The sequence below is a fragment of the Homo sapiens genome, chromosome 22, assembly GCF_000001405.40.
Source record: "Homo sapiens chromosome 22, GRCh38.p14 Primary Assembly".
NCBI lineage: Eukaryota > Metazoa > Chordata > Mammalia > Primates > Hominidae > Homo > Homo sapiens.
The window spans coordinates 41,042,283-41,065,031 of record NC_000022.11 but is presented as its reverse complement, the minus strand read 5'-3'; the positions used below and the strand labels follow the sequence as shown (position 1 = coordinate 41,065,031).

Sequence of the window (22,749 nt, the reverse complement as noted above, 5' to 3'; positions counted from 1 at the left end):
TTGGCCAGGCACGGTGGCTCAAGCCTGTAATCCCAGCACTTTGGGAGGCCGAGGCGGGCGGATCATGAGGTCGGGAGATGGGAGATCGAGACCATCCTGGCTAATCCGGTGAAACCTCGTCTCTACTAAAAATACAAAAAAATTAGTCGGGCGTGGTGGCGGGCACCTGTAGTCCCAGCTACTCGGGAGGCTGAGGCAGGAGAATGGCGTGAACCCCGGAGGTGGAGCTTGCAGTGAGCCGAGATCGCGCCACTGCACTCCAGCCTGGGCGACAGAGCAAGACTCCGTCTCAAAAAAAAAAAAAAAAAAAAAAATTTTTTTTTTTTTAAAGCGCTGATCCTGTTTATTTGGCAGGAAAACTAGACAATGCAGCAGCCCAGGAGGGACAGGTGGGCTTAATCCTCCTCCTTGTGGTCTCCAGCCCCAGCCCCACCCTGGCCCTTCTTGGCATTCTTCCTCTTCACGCGGCCCGGGCGGCCACCCCCATAGGGAGAGCACAGAGAGAAGTCGATGTGCTTCTGGGAATCCAGGCGGACAATGAAGGACGGGATGTTCACCACCTGCTTGCGGACCCTGAAATGGCGCTGGCGGATCAGCACGCGAGCGTGGTGGATGGACTTGGCCAAGCCCAGCTTGAAGACCTGGGTCTGTAGGCGTCTCTCTAAGAAATCCTCTATCTTCAGGCCCAGGATGTAATCCAGCTTCATCTTGCCCTCATCCAGCACCCCAATGCAGACCAGCCGCCACAGCAGGGCATTGCCTTCGAACAGACGCCGTGGGTCCTTCTGATCAAGCGTCAGCAGTTCCCGGGCGGCCTTGCGGATCTTGGCCAGGGTAAATTTGACCCTCCAGACCTCACGTTTATTCCGGAGCCCATACTCTTCGATCAGCTTCAGCTCTTGGTCGAGACGAGATTTCTCAAAGGATCTCCGCGGGGTCACGTAAGTTTTGCGACAAACCCAGCTCCGGGCCACTGGCATGTTGGCTCCCCTAACCCGTCTGCGCCTAAGCCTAGAACCCGGTCACTGAGAAAGAGCAATTTTTAAATTTTTTATAGTTACAGGGTCTTACTTGGTTGCCCAGGCTGATTTCAAACTCCTGGGCTCAAGTGATCCTTCTGCCTCGGCCCCGCAAAGTGCTGGGATTACAAGCATGAGCCACTGAGCCGGGCCCATGTTTTGATATATGCATACATTGTGGAATGGCTAAATCAAGCTCGTTAAGCTAATTAACATATCCATTAACTCACACACATCTTTTTTGTGAAAAGAACATTTAAAATCTACTCTTCACAATTTTCAAGTATACAACATATTGTTATTAACTATAGTTACATGTTTTACAATAGATCTCTTGTACTGTGTGCTGCTGTCTAACTGAAATTTTATATCCTTTAACCAAAATCTTTCTAACCCTATTATTCACTAAGCAGGTAGAAATACTGATATGAAACATGATAAATTGGTTGCAAACGGAGATTAGCCTTTGAAAGTATCAGCATATAATTAAGACTTGATGCTAAGGGGTGAATGAGCTTTCCCAGGGAGACCGGAGAAAGCTAAAACAGAAGAGGGTCCTGGACCTTGGAGAAACGCATCATCTAAGGAGCTGGCTGTATGTGGAACAGCACAGTGTCGACTCAGAAGGCATGGTCATGGAGGAAGGAGAGGAGAAGTGCTGCAGAGGCCAAGGGATTCAGGGGTCTCCAAAAGTAGGAAATCTTTCGTTTTTCTTTCTTTCTTTTTTTTTTTTTTTTTTGAGACAGTCTCACTCTGTCACCCAGGCTGGAGTGCAGCGGCACAATCTTGGCTCACTGCAACCTCCACCTCCTGAGTTCAAGTGATTCTTCCACCACCACGCCAGGCTAATTTTTGTATTTTTAATAGAGACCGGGTTTCTCCATGTTGGCCAGGCCGGTCTCGAGCTCCTGAACTCAAGTGATCTGCCTGCTTTGGCCTCCCAAAGAGCTGGGATTACAGATGTGAGCCACCATGCCCGGCCTACATTTAATCTTTTTCAGGTAATCTTCTTTTTTTTTTTTTTTTTTTTTTTGAGATGGAGTTTTGCTCTTGTTGCCTAGGCTGGAGTGCAGTGTCTTGATTTCAGCTCACTGCAACCTCGGCCTCCCGGGTTCAAGCGATTCTCCTGCCTCAGCCTCCCAAGTAGCTGGGATTACAGGTGCCTGCCACCATGCGTGGCTAATTTTTTGTATTTTTAGTAGAGACGGGGTTTTTATCATTTTGGCCATGCTGGTCTTGAACTCCGCACCTCAGGTGATCCACCTGCCTCGGCCTCCCAAAGTGCTGGGATTACAGGCGTGCAGCACCACACCCGGCCGTCATTTAATCATTTTTATGAAAAAAAGGCTTAGGGGAAAAGCAAATGAATTGTTGGAACAAAAAGGCCAGGGAATCTTTATCATTTTGAAGTGAACAAGGCAAAATCCTACCAATAGGAATAAATTATATTTTTCGTGTGACTACCCGGTGTGAGGTTGGGAGAAAATGAATTCTATGGTGATGAGGTGACTTTGCCCTTTGGTAACTGAGGAGCAAAACACCTCCAGCCACTGCTGATAGAGACTGAACCGAAGAGGAAATGCCAAAGATTTTACAGGTCCCTAGGAGGTCTAGACTCCCTCTCTGCCCCATCTTCCTTGGAGACCAAGTAGACCTCCAAGCGGAGGAAGCCTCCACTGGAATGCAACATCAGAAGCGAATGAACTGGGACTGCTGTCACACCAGAGGGATGGGGAGAGAGGGGAACAAGGGAGCATTCACGTGCTGGCAATGGGGAGGTTTCACTGCTCTTCAATCTCATTTTCTGGGCTCTCCTCCCCCGCTTTTAAAATGCTGAGCTTGGCCTGGTGTGGTGGCTCACGTCTGTAATCCCAGCACTTTGGGAATCCAAGGCAGTCAAATTACTTGAGCCCAGGAGCTTGAGACCAGCCTGGGCAACGTGGCAAAACCCCGTTTCTAAAAAATACAAAACCTAGCTGGGTGTGGTGGTACCTGCCCTGTAGTCCTTGGCTACTTGGGAAACTGAGATGGGAGGATTGTTTGAGCCCAGCAAGTTGAGACTGCAGTGAGCCTTGATCGAGCCACTGCATTCCAGCCTGGGCGACAAAGTGAGACCCTATTTCAAAACGAAACAAAACAAATAAAATGCAGCACTAAGGGCCAGGCTCAGTGGCTCATGCCTGTAATCCCAGCATTTTGAGAGGCCAAGGCAGGAGGATCACTTGAGCTCAGGAGTTCAAGACCAACCTGGGCAACATAGCAAAACCCTGTCTCTAAAAAATAAAATAAAATAAAGTAAGATAAAATAGGCCAGGCGTGGTGGCTCATGCCTGTAATCCCAGCACTTTGGGAGGCCAAGGCGAGTGGATCACCTGGGGTCAGGAGTTTGAGACCATCCTGGCCAACATGGCGAAACCCCATCTCTAGTAAAAATGCAAAAATTATCCGGGCATGGTGATGGGCACCTATAATCCCAGATACACGGGAGGCTGAGGCAGGAGAATCACTTGAACCCCGGGGGGGCGGAGGTTGCGGTGAGCTGAGATTGCACCATTGCACTCCAGCCTGGGCAACAAGAGCGACATTCCATCTCAAAAATAAATAAATAAAATAAAAAAAGAAAAGAAAATACTGAGCTCAGGCTGGGCACATTGATTCACGCCTGTAATCCCAACACTTTGAGAGGCTGAGGTAGGAGGATGGCTTGAGCCCAGGAGTTGGAGACCAGCCTGGGCAACACAGGACGACCCCACGTCTACCCCTCCACCCCCCCAAAAAAAAGAAAGAAAAAGAGGCTGAGTTCCCTAGGGCACTATTCTTAGCCTTTTATGACCACAACCTATCCCTGGACAGCCTCATCCACAAACATGGCATTAAGTGCCATTCTACATGTTTAGTAAACGTGTATTGAATGACTCAGTGAAAAATGAAGGCAAAATTTCTGGGAAAGATGATATATGGGACTGAATCGTGCTCCCCCGCCAATTCATATGTTGAAGTCCAAACCCCTAGTACCTCAGAATGTAACCATATTTGGAGAAAAGGGCCTTCAAGAGCTGATTAAATTAAAATGAGGTCATTAGAGTGGGGTCCTAATCCGGTATGACTAGTGTTATAACTAGTGTTCTTTTTTTTTTTTTTTTCTGAGACGGAGTTTCGCTTTTGTTGCCCAGGCTGGAGTGCAGTGGCGCAGTCACAGCTCACTGCAACTTCTGCCTCCTGGGTTTAATCGATTCTCCTGCCTCAGCCTCCCAAGTAGCTGGGATTACAGGCATGCACCACCATGCCCAGCTAATTTTGTATTTTTTTTTAGTAGAGATGGGGTTTCACCATGTTGGTCAGGCTGGTCTCAAACTCCTGACCTCAGGTGATCCACCCACCTCAGCCTCCCAAAGTGCTGGGATTACAGGTGTGAGCCACCACGCCCAGCTGTGTTCTTTTTTTTAATTAAAAAAAATTTTTTTAAAAGAAATAGACATGGGGTCTCACTATGTTACTCAGGCTGGTCTTCAACTCCTGGGCTCAAGTGATCCTCCTGCCTCAGCCTCCCAAAGTCCTGGGATGACAGGTGTAAGCCACTGAGCTCAGCCTATAACTGGTATTCTAACAAGAAGAGGAAGGGACACCAGGGATGTGTACATACAGAAAAAAGGCCACACGAGGACACAGTAGGAAGGTAGCCATCTGAAGCCAAGGAGAGAGGCACCAGGAGAAACTAACACCTTGATCTTGGACTTCTAACCTCCAGAACTGTGAGAAAATAAAGTTGTGTTGTTTAAGCTACTTGTCTGTGGTATTATGTTATAGCAGTCCTAGCAAATTACAGATGATGAAGCCATCAAGACAGATGGGCCTGTGAAAGGACCATGCACTAGTGACAGCAGGCAGCTGGATACCTGTGTGTCAGCCTCAGGGTGTGGTCTAAGCTGGATAAAAAGATTCTGCAGGGCCATCAGGGTGGCTCATGCCTCTAATCTCAGCACTTTGGGAGGCCGAGGCAGGCGAATCACCTGAGGTCAGGAGTTTGAAACCGGCCTGGCCAATGTCGTGAAACCCTGTCTCTACTAAAAATACAAAAATTAGCTGGGCGTGCTGGCATGTGCCTGTAGTCCCAGCTACGTGGGAGGCTGAGGCAGGACAATTGCTTGAACCTGGGAGGCAGAGGTTGCCATGAGCTGAGATTGTGCCACTGTACTCCATCCTGGGCGACAGAGCGAGATTCCATCTCAAAAAAAAAAAAAAAAAGAAAAGAAAAGAAAGGAAAACAGTTGGCAGTTGGTGGTTCTTCAAAAAGTTAAACACAGAATTACCTTATAATCCAGCAATTCCCCGGTATATATCCAAAAGAGTTGAGAGTAGATGTAGGCTGGACGTGGTGGCTCACACCTGTAATCTCAGCACTTTGGGAGGCTGAAAGTGGGAGGATCACCTAAACACAGGAGTTCAAGGCTAGCCTGGGCAACATGGCGAAACCCTATCTCTACAAAAACTACAAAAGCTAGCTGGGCACGATGGCTTGCACCTGTAGTCTCAGCTACCTGGGACTGTGAGGTAGGGGGATTGCTTTGGCCCAGGAGTTTGAAGTTGTAGTGAGCTATGACTGCGCCACTGCACTCCAGCCTGGGCAACAGAGTGAGACCCTGTCTCAAAAAAAAAAAAAAATGCTGGGCATGGTGGCTTAGGCTTGTAATCCCAGCACTTTGGGAGGCCGAGGCAGGCAGATCACCTGAGGTAAGGAGCTTGAGACCAGCCCGACCAACGTGGTGAAACCCCGTCTCTACTAAAAATACAAAAATTAGCCAGGCATGGTGGCGGGCACCTGTAATCCCAGCTACTCGGGAGGCTGAGGGAGGAGAATTGCTTGAACCTGGGAGACAGAGGTTGCAGTGACTTGAGATCACGCCAGTGCACCCCACCTTGGGCAACAGAGCGAGACTCCATCTCAAACACACACACACACACACACACACACAAAAATTAGCTGGGCATGATGGTGCATGCCTGTGTTCTCAGCTACTGGGGAGGCTGAGGTGGAAGGATCGCTTGAGCCGGGGAGGTGGAGGTTGCAGTGAGCCTAGATCTTGCCACTGCACTTCAACATGGGCGACAGAGCCAGCCCCTGTCTCGAAATAAATAAATAGATAAAAATAACAATAGAGATGTTTTAAAGTGTCATAGACTGAATGATAAATTATATCGTCAGTATATATATATACATCTATATCAATATATAGAGGTGTATATATATATTTTTATATATATGTGGAAAAATATATATCTTTTCACACGTAAAGTACTCACTTGCTCCGCAGCAGAGAAAACAGGGTTGGAAAGGCAACATCTTTACTCCCAGTGTGTTCAGCTCACAGTCCATAACTATTCATTAGGTCTGGATATAGGTACTACCTATAAACTGAAAGACAAACTATCTTTCAATATACAGTTGTGGAATAGGAAAAAAATAATCACAATAAAAATGACCACTGGGCTGGGTGTGGTGGCTCGCTCCTGTAACCCCTGCACTTTGTGAGGCTGAGGCAGGAGAATCGTTTGAGCCCAGGAGTTTGAGACCAGCCTGGGCAACATAGAAAGACCCCATCTCTACAAAAAAAATTAAAATAAAAAAATTAGCCTGGCATGGTGGCACATGAACACCTGTAATCCCAGCTCCTTGGAGGTGGAGGTGGGAGGATCCCCTGAGCTCAGGAGGTTGAGGCTGCAGTGAGCCCTGACTGTACTACTGCACTCTTGCATAGGCAACAAGAGCTAGACCCTGTCTCAAAAGAAAAAAAAAAAAAAGCACTCCAAAAATGCGGGGATATGAAACACGCTGCAGATGCTTGTCCCTTGCAGTCGGTAAAGGTATCTGGGCAGGAAGAGGGAGGATTCTCTTGTATGGCAGTAGAATTAGTTGTTGGGTACAACTGTCTGATAGCCCCTAGCTCTGCCTTCTGGGAGGTTCTTCCTTTGGCATTATCCCCCATGGACACGGGAGAGGTGGGCCCTGGAGAGATTGGCCTGTTGTAAGCTGCCCAGTTTTCAGAGCCTGCATCCTGCTAGTGCAGGTTTTGGAGCCTGGGAATGGCTTCAGGGGTTGAGTAGCTATAATTTTTGTGAGCCAGCTAGTGGTTTCTTTGGTAATATAATTCCTTCAAACATTTAGCAGGTTTCTGGCTGTTGGCTTAATTGTGCTAATGACTACAGCCAAAGATCTCATCTAAACACATCTTTTTTGTTTTTTGGGTTTTTTTCTGGAGACAGAGTCTCGCTTCTATCCCCCAGGCTGGAGTGCAGTGGCGCCATCTTGGCTCACGGCAACCTTTGTCTCTCAGGTTCAAGCAATTCTTATGCTTCAGCCTCCTGAGTAGCTGGGATTACAGGCACCTGACACCACAGTGGCTAATTTTTGTATTTTTAGTAGTGACAGGGTTTCACCATGTTGGCCAGGCTGGTCTTAAACTCCTGACCTCAGGTGATCTGCCTGTCTTGGCCTCCGAAAGTGTTGGGATTACATGCGTGAGCCACCACGCTCGGCCTAGACATACCTTTTAAGCCTCAATACTGTTCTTTGGTCTTCTACAAATGAGCCTGTGCTGAGCTTGAAGGTGGTAGCCACCTTCAATCCTTCTGAAACAGGGTTGAGAAGCCAACATCTTTACTCCCAGTTTTGCCTTTCAGCTCATAGCCCCTGGGGGAAGTTAAGTCTTACCTCTTGCTAAGGCTACTGCTCCCAAGCCACTCCTTATAAGTACTTAGATCTGAAATACCAAAGCAGATGGCTTTTTTTTTCAGCCCTGAAAATCTCTGCATTATAGAACTCTTGGGCCATTGTAATTGGGGATTACCAGCAGAGTACATACTTTTATATAGGTAAATACAAAAGACAAGTATAAATACATTTTGTTTATCTTTTTTCTCCTGTGTGATTTAAAAGACAACTGCATAAATCAAGAATTATAAATCTGTTGATGAGCACACAGCGTATAAAAATGTAATTTGTTTCAAGGACATGTTATCTAAGAAAAAAATGTAATTTGTGACAATAACAGCACAAAGGAGGTGGAAAACAGCCACAGAGAAGTAAAGTTGTAGTTTATTAATTGGAATTAAATTGCTATTAATCCCAGCCAGAGTGTTATACTACACTAGATCCCCCCCCATTTATCAGCAATTTTGATTTCTGTGGTTACCTGCCGTTAACGCCCTCTGAAAATATTAAACGGAAAATTCCAGAAATAAGCAATTCATGTTTTAAATTTCGAGCAGTTCTGAGTAATATGATGAAATCTCGCACCATCTCACTCCGTCCTGCCCAGGATGAGAATGATCCCTTTGTCCAGCTTGTCCAGGCTCTAGATGCTACTGGCCGTAACTTAGTAGCTTTCTCAGTTATCAGATTGTCTTGGGATTGCAGTGCCTGTGTCCAAGTTATCCTTATTCGGTTTAATAATGGTCCCAAAGCACGAGCGTGGTATATTGTTATAATTGTTCTATTTTATTGTTATTTTTGTTAATCTCTTACTGTGCCTAATTTATACATTTATAAATTAAACTTTATCATAGGTATGTATGTATATGAAAAAACATAGTATATATAGGGTTCAGTACTATCTGAGGATTCAGGCATCCACTGGGCCTCTTAGAACATATCCACGTTGGTGGTGAAACCCCGTCTCTACTAAAAATACAAAAAATTATCCGGGAGTGGTGGTGGGCGCCTGTAATCCCAGGCACCCGCTGAGGCAGGAGAATTGCTTGCATCCGGGAGGCAGAGGTTTCAGTGAGCTGAGATGGCACCACTGCACTCCAGCCTGGGCAACAGAGTAAGGCCCTGTATCAAAAAAAAAAAAAAAAAAAAAAAAGATTATACTGGGCGCAGTCGCTAACGCCTGTAATCCCAGCACTTTGGGAGGCCAAGGCGGGTGGATCACGAGGTCAGGAGTTCGAGACCAGCCTGACCAACATGGTCTCTACTAAAAATACAAAAATCACCCAGGTGTGGTGGCACACACCTGTAATCCCAGCTACTCAGGAGGCTGAGGCAGGAGAATCGCTTGAACACAAGAGGCAGAGGTTGCAGTGAGCCAAGATCACACCTCTGCATACCAGCCTGGCGACAGAGCGAGACTCTGTTTCAAAAAAAAAAAAAAAAAAAAAGATTGCAAGGGAATACTATGAACAGCTGTAGTCCAACAAATTAGGTAACTTAGATGAAATGGACAAATTCTAGGAAAAAAGTTACCAGAACTGATTCAAAAAGATACCAAAAATCTGAGTAGGCCTATAACAAGTAAAGACATCAAATTAATAATAAAAACTTGTTGGGTGCAGTGGCTCATTCCTGTAATCCCAGCACTTTGGAAGGCTGAAGTGGTTGAATTGCTTGAGCTCAGGAGTTTGAGACCAGCCTGGGCAACATGGCAGAAACCCGTTTCTACAAAAAATACAAAATTTAGCTGGACATGGTGGTGCACGCCTATAGTCCCAGCTACTTGGGAGGCTGAAGTGGGAGGACGGCGAGAGTCCAGGAGGCAGAGGTTGTAGTGAGTTGGGATTGTGCCACCTTACTCCAGCCTGGGAGATACAGCCAGAGCTTGTCTCAAAATAATAATAATAATAATAATAATAATAATAAACTCTCCATAAAGAAAAATCCAGGCCTAGATAGCTTCACTGGTGAATTCTACCAAATAGTCAAAGAAAAATTAATACCAATTATGGAATACTGAATAATGGCCCTCCCAAAATATCTATGCCCTAATCTGCAGAACCTATGAGTGTTCCTTTATATGGCAAAAGGGATTTTGCAAATGTAATTAAGAATCTCAAAGTGGGGAGATTATTTTGGAGTACATGGGTGGACCAGATGTGATTACAAGGGAAATTATAAGAGGGATGCAGAAAGAGTCAAGGTTCCAAAGCCATAGGAAGAAGGAAGCGGAGGTACGTAGAGTCTAAAAGAGAAGCTGCCACTTAGCTGGCTTTGAGGATGGAAGAAAAAGCCATGAGCAGCCTCTAGAAATTGGAAGAAGCAAGAAGCGGATTCCTCTCCTGCAGCTTCCAGGAGGAACCAGCCCTGCTGACACCTGGCTGCAGTTCTGTAAGACCCATTTTGAACTTTCAATCTCCAAAATTGTAAAAGAATAAATCTGTGGCTGGGCGTGGTGGCTCACACCTGTAATCCTAGCACCTTGGGAGGCCAAGGCAGGTGGATTGCCTGAGCTCAGGAGTTAAAAACACCAGCCTGGGCAACATGGGGAAACCCGGTCTCTACTAAAATACAAAAAATTAGCCAGGCGTGGGGGTGTGGGCCTGCTGGCCTGCAATCCCAGCTACTTGGGAGACTGAGACAGGAGAATCGCTTGAACCCGGGAGGTGGAGGTTGCAGTGAGTCGAGATTGTGCCATTGTACTCCAGCCTGCGTGACAGAGAGAGACTCCGTCTCAAAAAAAAAAAAAAGAATTAATTTGTGCTTTTTTAAGTCATTAAGTTTGTAGTAATTTGTTATAGCAGTAATAGGAAACTTCTACCAATTTACTTAATTTTATTTATTTATTTATTTATTATTTATTTTTTTTTGAGAGAAGTCTCGCTCTTATTTCCCAGGTTTGAGTGCAATGGCTCGATCTCGGCTCACTGCAACCTCCGCCTCCCAGGTTCAAATGATTCTGCTGCCTCTGCCTCCCACATAGCTGGGATTAAGTCACCTGCCACCACGCCTGGCTAATTTTTGTATTTTTTAGTAGAGACTGCGTTTCAATATGTTGGCCAGGCTGGTCTCAAATTCCTGACTTCAGGTGATCCGCCCGCCTCAGCCTCCCAAAGTGCTGTGATTACAGGCGTGAACCACTGCGCCCGGCCTATTTATTTATTTTTATTTATTTATTTTTTTGAGACAGAGTCTTGCTCTATCAACCAGGCTGGAGTGCCATGGTGCCATCTCAGTTCACTGCAACCTCCACCTCCTGGGTTCAAATGATTCTCCTGCCTCAGCCTCCCGAGTAGCTGGGATTACAGGCATGCACCACCACGCCCAGCTAATTTTGTATTTTTAGCAGAGACAGGGTTTCTCCATGTTGGTCAGGCTGGTCTCGAACTCCCGACCTCAGGTGATCTGCCCGCCTTGCCCTCCCAAAGTGCTGGAATTACAGGCGTGAGCCACCGCGCCTGGCCTTATTTTTTTTTTAATTAAAAAAATTTTTTTTGAAGAGATCAGGTCTTGCTTTGTTGCCCAGGTTGGTCTTGAACTCCTGCTAAAGCAGTCCTCCCACCTCGATATCCCGAAGTGCTGGAATTACAGGCATTAGCTACTGCAACAGGCCAATCAATATGCTTAAACCAATCTTTCACAAACTGTTACAAAAAACAGAGGAGGAGGGAACACTTTCCAATCATTGTATGATGCCGGTATTACTCTGATACTGAAACCACAAAAAGATATCACAAGAAAAGGAAACCACAGATCATTATCCCTTGTTCATTTAGACACAAAAATCCTGAATAAAATACATACTAGGAAACTGAATCCCACAATATATAAAAAGGGTTACAGGCCGGGCGCAGTAGCTCATCTCAGCACTTTGGGAGGCTCAGGCAGGTGGTTGCTTTAGCCCAGGAATTTGAGACCAGCCTGGGCAACATAGAGAGACCTTGTCTCTACAGAAAATACCAAAAAAATGAGCTAGATATGGTGGTGTGTGACTGTAATCCCAGCTACTCAGGAGCCTGAGGTGGGAGAATCATATGAGCCCAGGAGGTCAAGGCTGCAGTGAGCTATGATCTTGCCACTGCACTCTAGTCTGGTTGATAGAATGAAACCCTGTCTGTAAAAACAAAACAAAACAAAACAAAACCAGTTACACACCATGATCAAAGGAATTTATCCCTATGATGCAAAACTGGTTTAACATCTTGTGTAGAAAAGACTTAACGTGGTGGGCGTGAGACTGCTATCCTTAGAAATTCATGCTTTCAAGGTTGACCCTTGGTTAATGTCTGGAGAAATGGATTTCAGGACTCCTAAGAGTGGCTCACTGTGCCTAAACTATACAAACAATGTGGTTTATGCTAAATACTTGCTTTCCTTCTGTGAGTCTGCAACTTTGGTATGTGCTAGGCAGAGAGTGCATACGTGACCAGCCCCAATTTAACAACTTGGGCACTGAATCTCAAGTGAGCTTCTCCGGTAGACAACATTTCACGCATGTTATCACAACTTGCGGCTGGAGGAATTAGATATGTAATATGTTGACTCCACTAGAAGAGCACTCTGGAAGCTTGTGTCTGGTTTTCTCTGGACTTTGTCCCATGAGCTGTTTCCCTTTGCTGATTTTGCTTTGTATCTTTTCACTATAATAAATCTTAGCTGTGAAAATGACTACATGCTAAGTCCTCTGAGTCCTCCTTATAAATCATCCATCCTGAGAGCAGTCTTGGGGACCACTGACACATATTTAAAATCATTAGGCCGGGCATGGTGGCTCATGCTTGTAATTGCAGAACTTTGGGAGGTGGAGGTGGGCAGATCACTTGAGGTCAGGAGTTCAAGACCAGCCTGGCCAACATGGTGAAACCTTGTCTCTACTAAAAATACAAAAATTAGCTAGGTGTGATGGTGGGTGCCTATAATCCCAGCTACTAGAGAGGCAGAGACAGGAGAATCACTTGAATTCAAGAGGGGGAGGCTGCAGTGAGCCAAGATGGTGCTGCTGCACTCCAGCCTGGGTGACAGAGTCAGACCCTGTCTAAAAAAAAAATGAAAACTTTTGTATTTCAAGGGACATTACCAAGAAGCAAAAAGACAGCTGGGCGCGGTGGCTCATGCCTGTAATCCCAGCACTTTGGGAGGCCAAGGCGGGTGAATCATGAGGTCAGGAGATCGAGACCCTCCTGGATAACACGGTGAAACCCCGTCTCTACTAAAAATACAAAAAATTAGCAGGGCGCGATGGCAGGCGCCTGTAGTCCCAGCTACTCGGGAGGCTGAGGCAGGAGAATGGCGTGAACCCGGGAGGCGGAGCTTGCATTGAGCAGAGATCATGCCACTGCACTCCAGCCTGGGTGGCAGAGCAAGACTCCATCTCAAAAAAATAAAAAAGTGGAGAAAAAAAGAAAGCAAAAAGACAGCACACAGAATGGTAGAAAATCTTTGCAAATCATGTATCCAGAGTATTAGAAAGAATATTTATAATTCAATGATAAAAAGATAGGCTGGGTGCAGCGTGGTAGCTCACGCCTGTAATTCCAGCACTTTGGGAGACTGAGGCAAGAGGATTGCTTGAGCCCAGGAGTTCAAGACCATCCTGGGCAACACAGTGAGACCCTGACTCTATTAAAAAAAAATTTTTTTAAGACAATAACTTAATTTTTTTTTTTTGAGATGAAGTTTCACTCTTGTTGCCCAGGCTGAAATGCAGTGGCACGATCTTGGCTCACTGCAACCTCCGTTTCCTAGGTTCAAGAGATTCTCCTGCCTCAGCCTCCTGAATAGCTGGGATTACAGACATCTGCCACCACGCCTAGCTAATTTTTTGTATTTTTAGTAGAGACAGGGTTTCATCAAGTTGGCCAGGGTGGTCTCAAACTCCTGATCTCAGGTAATATGCCTGCCTTGGCCTCCCAAAGTGTTGGGATTACAGACGTGAGACACCGAGCCCGACCACAGTAACTTAATTTTTAAAATAGTTTTTAAACTATTTTTAGAGAAAGATTTTTTAAAGGATTTAATTTTTAAGATTTAAAACTTTTTAGAGAAAGATATCTCTAAAAAAAAAGATACATGAATGGACAATAAGTACATGAAAATAGTCTCAATGTCATTAGCCATTAGACCAAGTATTAATCAAAACCACAGTGAGATACCACTTCATACACATTAGGATGGCTATAATCAAAGACAGACAAATGCTGGTGAACATGTGGAGAAATTGCAACCCTCATACATTAGTGGTAGGAATGTGAAATGGTACATCACTGGGGAAAACAGTTTGGTGGTTTCTCAAAAAGTTTGTCCCGTGCTGATCAGTAGTGGGATCATACCTGTGAACAGCCAGCCACGGCACTCCAGCCTGGGCAACATGGCAATACCCTGCCTTTTAAAAAAAGAAGCCAAGTGCAGTGGTTCACTCCAGTAATCCCAGCACTTCGGGAGGCCAAGGCGGGTGATCACTTGAGGCCAGGAGTTTGAGACCAGCCTGGACAACATGGTGAAACCCCGTCTCTACTAAAAATACAAAAATGAGCCAGCGTGGCGGTGCCCATCTGTAGTCCCAGCTACTTGGGAGGCTCAGGCAGGAGAATCGCTTGAACCCGGGAGGCAGAGGTTGCAGTGAGCTGAGATCGCACCACCGCACTCCAGCCTGGGTGACAGAGCGAGACTGTCTTGAAAAAAAAAAAAAAAGAAAAAAGAAAGTTTGGTGGTTCTTCAAAAAGTTAAGCAGTTACCATATGACCCAGCAATTCCATTCCTAGGTATATATCCAAGAGAAATGAAAACATATGTCCACACAAAATTGTTTACATAAATATTAATAGCAGCATTATTTATAATAGTGAAAAACTGGAAACAGCATGAATGTCCATCACTAGAGTGGCTAAGGAAAATGTGGGATACCCATACAATGGAATATTATTTGGCTATTAAAAAGAGTGAAGTGGCCTGGTGTGGTGGCTCATGCCTGTAATCCCAGCACTTTGGGAGGCCAAGGTGGGTGGATCACGAGGTCAGGAGTTCAAGACAACCCTGGCCAAGGTGGTGAAACCCTGTCTGTACTGAAAAAAAAATACAAAAATTAGCCGGGCGTGGTGGCAGGTGCCTGTAGTCCCAGCTACTCGGGAGGCTGAGGCAGGGAATTGCTTGAATCCGGGAGGTGGAGGTTGCAGTGAGCTTAGATTGCGCCACTGCACTCCAGCCTGGGTGACACAGTGAGACTCCATCTCAGAAAAAAAAAAAAAAAAATTCTGGCCCCAGAGACAGGCACTAGCCTAGCTGTGTGACCTTGGTCAGTTTCCTCACCCTCTCTGAACTCCCATTTTCAGGAGGTTTAGGGAAATATTAGTAAAGTCTACCCCACTGACTTGTTGCAAGGGTTAGATGTGAAAACCCAAGGAAAGCATTTGGACAGGGCCTGGCCCATGGTGAGGGTTCCATAAAGAGCTGGCTGTTCCCTTCCTCTCTCAGCCCTTACTCCAAGGCACGTTCCTTCTTGGGTGACAATCAGGTAATGCCATGGGACAACAGGGCAGCAGCTCTGACAACCCACATGTTCCTGCAGGGCTGCACAAGGCCTCCTGAACAGCCTCTCAGCTCAGCCTGGCACCAACAGCCACGCAGCGGATTCAGACTTAGAGCAGAGCTTTGGGCCTTAGCTGGAGGGGGCAAGTGCATGTGTGTTGCAGGGAACAGCCCTCCTTAGCTTGCGTTGGTTTTCAGACTGGCAACATGATCGCCCCCTTGACCCCAAGAGGGAACAACTGCACTGGGTCCATCCTGTGACTTGCATCCCTCACACAGGGCCTGCTTAACCTTGAGCAGCTGCTGTGTCCACGGCCAACAGCTGGGCCCCACTGGGCCATAAATCACTGGCGACACTAAACAGGTCGGCATAGTCAGCGGCTGCTCCTCGCCATGGTGGGTGGGCTGCGGGAGCAGGCAGGGACTCAGAACTCACTCCCCTATAAACCCCATCCATGGTACTCAAGCCAGTGGTGGCTTTGTGTCTGGCTTTGAATCCTCGCTGGACAAATGCTTCCCTCGATAACCAGATGTCTGTAGACTCCACAGCGGAAGCAGCGTGGACTTGCAGGGGACGGACACATGGATAAGCCAAGTTGGAAACCGGCAGACAAAGTCTGAAATAAAGCCATTGTACCCACACTACAGGACCGCGGGGACACGCCTGTGCCTCCCGCATCCATCTTGCCTCTGCTCTCTCTGTGAAACCAGCATGAGCAGGAAGCACTAATCCGACAGATTCCACTAATGCTCAAAACACATGCTCCGCGCCTGGGCCCGCCCCCTGGCCAGCCATAGCCCGCAGCTCTCAGGCCACCAGGCAGAGGCCGGGAAAGTAGAGCCAAGAGGAATCGGAAACACAGCCCCAGGGAAAGGGAGCTGTGGTGCAGCAAGAGGCAGCTGGATTCTTCTCTTATCTGATGAGAGTGGATTCCGGGCTGTTCATCCACGTGTTTACTGCTCCAGTGCGATTCGCCTAGAAATGTCTATAATGGCATTTTCCCTTTAATATCGTAATAGGCACCAGAAAGGAGAATAGCATTAATGATTATGTTGTCTTAGGTACATAAAGGTAAAAAAACTGATGGGAGTGTGTGGGTGTGAAAACAAAAGTGCATGTCAACTAGTTACAACTGTCAGCACCTGTTTACATCTTTTTTTTTTTTTTGAGACAGAGTCTCACTCTGTTGCCCAGGCTGGAGTGCAGTGGCGCAATCTCGGCTCCATGCAGCCTCCGCCTCCCAGGTTCAAGCAATTATCTTGCCTCAGCCTCCCGAGTAGCTGGGATTATAGGAGTGCGCCACCACATCCGGCTAATTTTTTACTTTTAGTAGACACGCGGTTTCACCATGTTGGCCAGGATGGTCTCGAACTCCTGAGCTCAAGCGATCTGCCTGTCTCGGCCTCCCAATGTGCTAGATTTATAGGCGTGAGCCACCGTGTGCGCCTATGTTTACATCTTGAAAAGACTGGAAAGAAAAGCGCAAATGTGAATGTAGTTGTTTTAGGATGCTGGAATGATTTGCTTTTAATTGTCCTTGGCAAATCTAATCTATGGGGTCAGGATAATAGCGGCCCTGGGGGTGGTAGTGACTGGAAGGGTTTTTGGAGATTCAGATGGATCCACATGTGAGTTACAGGAGTCTGTTCACTTGATTACCAAGTTGAACACTTGTGATTTGTGTGCTCTTCTGTGTTATGCTGCAATAAAACATTTACTTTAACAGATGTTTGTGAGTGATATCTTTTTTGTAAACAACTTAAAATATTTCCAAAGAAACTCAAAAAGTGAAAGGAACATTAGGATTACCCAATCCAATTCCATTGCTATACTGAAAAAGAAAGGAAGGGTCAAAGAGAAACCAGTTACTACATTGTATATTTCAAAATTGCTAAAAGAGGACAGCCGTGTTGGCTCACGCCTGCAATCCCAGCACTTTGGGTGGCTGAGGAGGGAGGATGACTTGAGCCCAGGAGTTCGAGACCAGCCTGGGCAACGTTGTGAGTCTCTGTCTCTACAAAAAAATTAAAAAATTAGCTGAGTGTGGTGACACTTGCCTGTGGTTCCAGCTACGTGGGAGGCTGAGGTAGGAGGATCACTTGAGTGGGGCGGCAGAGGTTGTAGTGAGCTGAGATTGAGGCACTGCACTCCAGCATGGGGGACAGAGTGAGACCCTGTCTAAAAAAATAAAAATAGGCCGGACGCGGTGGCTGACACCTGTAATCCCAGCACTTTGGGAGGCTGAGGAGGGCGGATCACCTGAGTCAGGAGTTCGAGACCAGCCTGGCCAACATGGTGAAATCCCGTCTCTACTAAAAATACAAAAATTAGCCATACATGGTGGCAGGCACTTGTAATCCCAGCTGCTTGGGAGGCTGAGGCAGGAGAATAGCTTGAACCTGGGAGGCAGAGGTTGCAGTGAGCCGAGATCACGCCACTGCACTCCAGCCTGGATGACAAGAGTGAGACTCTGTCTCAAAAAAAATAGTAAAAATTAAAATTAAAATAAAAAAAAATGCTAAGAGTAAATTTCAAATGTTCTTACCACAAAAAATAAATATTTGAGGTGATGGATATGTTAAGCAGCTTGATTTAGTCATTTGACATTGCATACATATAACATCACATAGTACCACATAAATATATACAAATATAACTTGCCAATTTATGAAATAAAGGAAGGAAGTAGGAAAGAAAGAAAAAGAAGAGCAGGAAATGAAGAAAGGAAGAAGAAAAGAGAGAAGGCAGTCACTATTGCCCACTGATTCAGAGACAGAATCAGGACTGAGATTTCGAACTCTCCCTGCTGCCATCCCATTGAACCAGGTGATTTCTGCAAAAAATTAAGAAACCTTTTAAAGGACCATGATTTTATTAATTTTTAAAATAATAGTGGCTGGGTGCGATGGCTCACGCCTGTAATCCCAACACTTTGGGAGGCCTAGGTGGGCGGATAACCTGAGGTCAGGAGTTCAAGACCAGTCTGACCAACATGGAGAAACCCCGTCCCTACTAAAAATACAAAATTAGCCAAGTGTGGTGGTGCATGCCTGTAATCCCAGCTACCCGGGAGTCTGAGGCAGGACAATTGCTTGAACCTGGGAGGTGAAGGCTGCGGTGAGCCAAGATTGCGCCATTGCACTCCAGCCTGGGCAACAAGAGCGAAACTCCGTCTCAAAAATAAAAAAATAAATAAAACAAAATAATAGTGATTACTTTTTTGCATCTTTTTAAATTAAAAGAGATGTTATTTTATTCAGTTAGTTTTTGAATTGGTAACATGCAAAAGCTACAAAATTTGAAAGTTACAAAAAAGGAATATAAGGCTGGGTGAAGTGGCTCACGCCTGTAATCCTGGCACTTTGGGAGGCCGAGGTGGGCTGATCACTTGAGGCCAGGAGTTTCTAGCCAATATGGAGAAAGGTGTCTCTACTAAACCTGTTTCTCCAACATGGAGAAACCTATCTCTACTAAATGTACAAAAAATTACCTGGGTGTAGTGGCATGCGCCTGTAGTCCCAGCTACTTGGGAGGCTAAAGCAGGAGGATCGCTTGAACCTGGGAGGCAGAGGTTGCAGTGAGCTGAGATCCCACCACTACAGTCCAGTCTGGGTGACAGAGCAAGACTCTCTCTCTCAAAAACAAACAAAAAGAAGGTATATAAGAAGAAGCCCTGAGGCGGGCTTGGTGGCACATACCTGTAGTCCCAGGAGGCTGAGGCGGGAGGATCACTTGAGCCCAGGAGTTTGAGGTTACAGTGAGTTATAATTGTGCCACTGCACTCCAGTACAGATGACAGAGCAAGATCCTGTCTCAAAAAAAAAAAAGCCACCTTACCATTGTTCTTTTGTGTCTCTGCCCCAAGAACCACCACAGAGACTTCTGTGCAACCTGCCAGAGATAGTAAATGTGCTTTTTTTTTTTTTGAGGTGGAGTTTTGCTCTTGTTGCCCAGGCTGGAGTGCAATGGCGCAATCTCGGCTCACCGCAACCTCCGCTTCCCAGGTTCAAGTGATTCTCCCGCCTCAGCCTCCTGAGTAGCTGGGAGTACAGGCATGCGCCACCACGCCCGGCTAATTTTGTATTTTTAGTAGAGGCGGGGTTTCTCCATGTTGGTCAAGCTGGTCTCGAACTCCTGACCTCATGTGATCCACCTGCCTCGGCAAACATGTTTTGTTTTGTTTCGTTTTTTGCCAGTTAAATTTAGCAGTGGGAAGCTGTATACCAACTTTAGTGACAGTGATGTTAATAAGTTCCGATAATCCACTATGCTTACACCAGCCTTTTTTGTTTGTTTCTTATTCACACAAAGGGAAACAGGCTTTACACACCTTGCTTCTAATCACTTATACCACACGGAAGACTCTTCGTTTCAATGCACTTAGCTCCCGTCCCCATCCTTTTTAAAGGCTATAGAATGCTCCTTTGTGTGGACTATTAAAACAAACCCGTATTAGGGGACATTTATAATAGATCATTTCCAATCATTTGGTATTACATCAATGCCTCCATAGATAAGTGTTTTTATGTTATTTTGTATACATTTAAGTAGATCGTACAGTAATTTCTCAGAAGTGGAATTAGAGGGACAGAGACAGATCTATTTTATATTTAGTAAATATTGACAAATTGCTAGCCACAAATAGTACCATTTTACAGACTCATAAGCAAAGTATGAGAGCACGTGTTTACCTACACTATTGTAACATAGTGTTATCAAATGCTTTGGACTCTGCCAATCCGATAGATTTAAAATGACATGTCAGGGCCAGGCGTGGTGGCTCACTTCTGTAATCCCAGCACTTTGGGAGGCTGAGGAAGGTGGATCACTTGAGGTCAGGAGTTCGAGACCAGCCTTGCCAACATGGGGAACCCCCATCTCTACTAAAAAAAAATACAAAAATTAGCTGGGTGTGGTGGTGTGCGCCTGTAATCCCAGCTACTCGGGAGACTGAGGTAGGAGAATCACTTGAACCCGGGAGGCGGAGGTTGCAGTGAGCTGAGGTTGTGCCACTGCACTCCAGCCTGGGCAACAGAGGGAGACTCTGTCTCGACAAAAAAATTAAAAAATAATAAAATAAAATAAAATAAATAAATAAAATAAAGTGACATGTCAGGCCAATTATAACTTACCTTTCTCCTATTATGAGGGAGGCTGAATTTTTTTCATTTGTTTGACTCATTTGTATTTCCACTAATGAGAGCTCCTTTGTTCATTTTTTGATTCCATTTTTGTATTGGGTTGTTTGTTTTGCATCATTATTAAATTTTAAAATAAAATTCCAAATATTATTGCTATTTGAGATAGGGTCTCACTCTGTCACTCAGGCTGGGGGTGCAGTGACATGATCAAGGCTTACGGCAGCCTTCACCTCCTAGGCTCAAGTGGTCCTCCTACCTTAGTCTCCCGAGTAGCTGGGACTACAGGCACGCACCACCACACCCAGCTAATTTTTTTTTTTTTTGTATTTTTTTTTAGGGTTTTGTGTGTTGCCTAGGATGGTCTCGAAGTCCTGGGCTCAGGCAGTCTGCCTACCTCAGTCTCCCAAAGTTTTGGGATTACAGGGGTGAGGCACTGTGTCCAGTCCAAAATATAATTTTAAACATTTATCAAAAATAGGCCAGGTGTGGTTGCTCATGCCTGTAATCCTAGCACTTTGGGAGGCCAAGGCGGGTGGATTGCCTGAGCTCAGGAGTTATATATGTATATATAATTAATTTAAAAAGTATTTGCACAACTAATTAATAATAGTATAATAGTATCTATTATTTATTGAATACTTCCTGGGTCCTAGGCATCAGGCTAAATAATCTTAGAGCATATGAAATTTCTAGTTCTGCTTTTGCATGTACAGGAGCGGTTTTTCATGTTGCGACATTTTCTTTACGATTCTCATTCGCAATGGCTGCTCAGCAGTCTGTTGAGATACTGCATACAGTATCATGTAATTAGCTGTTTGCTAACTGTTAGCTTTCAGTTGCTCCTATTGCCTTATAATTTCTGATTAGTAACCTCTTCAAATCGTTTTTTAAAAATTAAATTCTTACTTGTAAGTTTTTTTTGTTTTGTTTTTTGGGGTTTTTTTTTTTTTTTTGAGACAGAGTCTCACTCTGTCGCCCAGGCTGGAGTGCAATGGCACCATCTTGGCTCACTGCAACCTCTGCCTCCTGGGTTCAAATGATTCTCCTGCCTCAGCCTCCCAAGTAGCTGGGTCTACAGGCGCCTGCCACCATGCCCGGCTAATTTTTGTATTTTTAGTATGGACGGAGATTTGTCATGTTGGCCAGTCTGGTCTCGAACTCCTGACCTCAAGTGATTTGCCCATCTCGGCCTCCCAATGTGCTGGGATTACAGGCATGAGCCACTGTGCCCGGCCTGCATCTTACTTTTAGGTGAAATAAATATCCTTTAAATACTTTAAATATTTATAAATATTCAATCATTGTAATTAAAACATTTGTCTTACAAAATGGGAGAATAGCTGGGCGTGGTGGGTCACGTCTGTAATTCCAGCACTTAGGGAGGGTGAGGCAGGAGGATCACCTGAGGTCAGGAGTTCGAGACCACCCTAGCCAACATGGCAAAACCCCATCTCTACGAAAAATACAAAAAATTAGTCAGGTGTGGTGGCAGGTACCTATAATCCCAGCTACTTGGGAGGCTGAGGCAGGAGAATTGCTTGAACCCAGGAGGTGGAGGTTGCAGTGAGCCAAGATTTTGCCATTGCACTCCAGCCTAGGAGACAGAGCAAGACTCTGTCTCAAAAAAAAAAAAAAAAAGGCAAAGTAAATAGTGGCTACGATGGGTCTATATGCACCCACATATATATACACACACATATATATACACATATACACACATATATACACACATATACACACACATACACACCTATGCACACACATATATAAACATGCATATACATATACACACATACATACACACACATATGCACACACATACATATATATATATACACACACACATATTAAACATGCATTACCTACCAAATCTGCCATTCCATTTGGTGTTTTGTAAATTGTGTACCATTGAATTCCCTTCCCCCACAAAAAGTACATAGAAATGGTCATTCAGTGGCTGTGGAAAGAAACACTTCTTCCTTCTAGGTCCAATTCTTTCCCTCTCTTTAAATCTTTCCCATGTGATTTAAAATTGTGGGCAGAAAATTATATCTGGGAGCTAAATGATAAGAAGCTATGAACACAAAGAAGGAAACAATAGACAGTGTGGTCTACTTGAGGGGGGAGGTTGGGAGCGGGGAGAGGAGCAGGAAAGATAACTATTGGGCATTGGGGTAATACCTGTGTGATGAAATTATATGTACAACAAAGCCCCATGACATGTGTTTACCTATGTAACAAATCTTCACATGTACCCTCAAACCTAAAATAAAAACTAAAAAAAAGAAAGTTATATCAACCTATTTGCTGCAAAACGGTTTTATTTAGCACACACTATTTGTAAACTCTTAAAAA

The 22,749-nt window shown here is 45.3% G+C and overlaps 1 pseudogene, besides 3 other annotated features; it reads right to left on the bottom strand.

The window, feature by feature from the left end:
- Positions 185-685: an enhancer, noted in NCBI's record as "H3K4me1 hESC enhancer chr22:41460351-41460851 (GRCh37/hg19 assembly coordinates)". NCBI's record gives its function as "activates a minimal SCP1, AML or CMV promoter by ChIP-STARR-seq in naive H9 embryonic stem cells {active_cell/tissue: H9 hESC(naive)}" and the evidence as "EXISTENCE:reporter gene assay evidence [ECO:0000049][PMID:30033119]".
- On the bottom strand, positions 324-1,036 carry RPS9P2 (ribosomal protein S9 pseudogene 2; annotated as a pseudogene).
- Positions 14,881-15,689: an enhancer, noted in NCBI's record as "H3K27ac-H3K4me1 hESC enhancer chr22:41445347-41446155 (GRCh37/hg19 assembly coordinates)". NCBI's record gives its function as "activates a minimal SCP1, AML or CMV promoter by ChIP-STARR-seq in naive H9 embryonic stem cells {active_cell/tissue: H9 hESC(naive)}" and the evidence as "EXISTENCE:reporter gene assay evidence [ECO:0000049][PMID:30033119]".
- Positions 15,690-16,500: an enhancer, noted in NCBI's record as "H3K27ac-H3K4me1 hESC enhancer chr22:41444536-41445346 (GRCh37/hg19 assembly coordinates)". NCBI's record gives its function as "activates a minimal SCP1, AML or CMV promoter by ChIP-STARR-seq in naive H9 embryonic stem cells {active_cell/tissue: H9 hESC(naive)}" and the evidence as "EXISTENCE:reporter gene assay evidence [ECO:0000049][PMID:30033119]".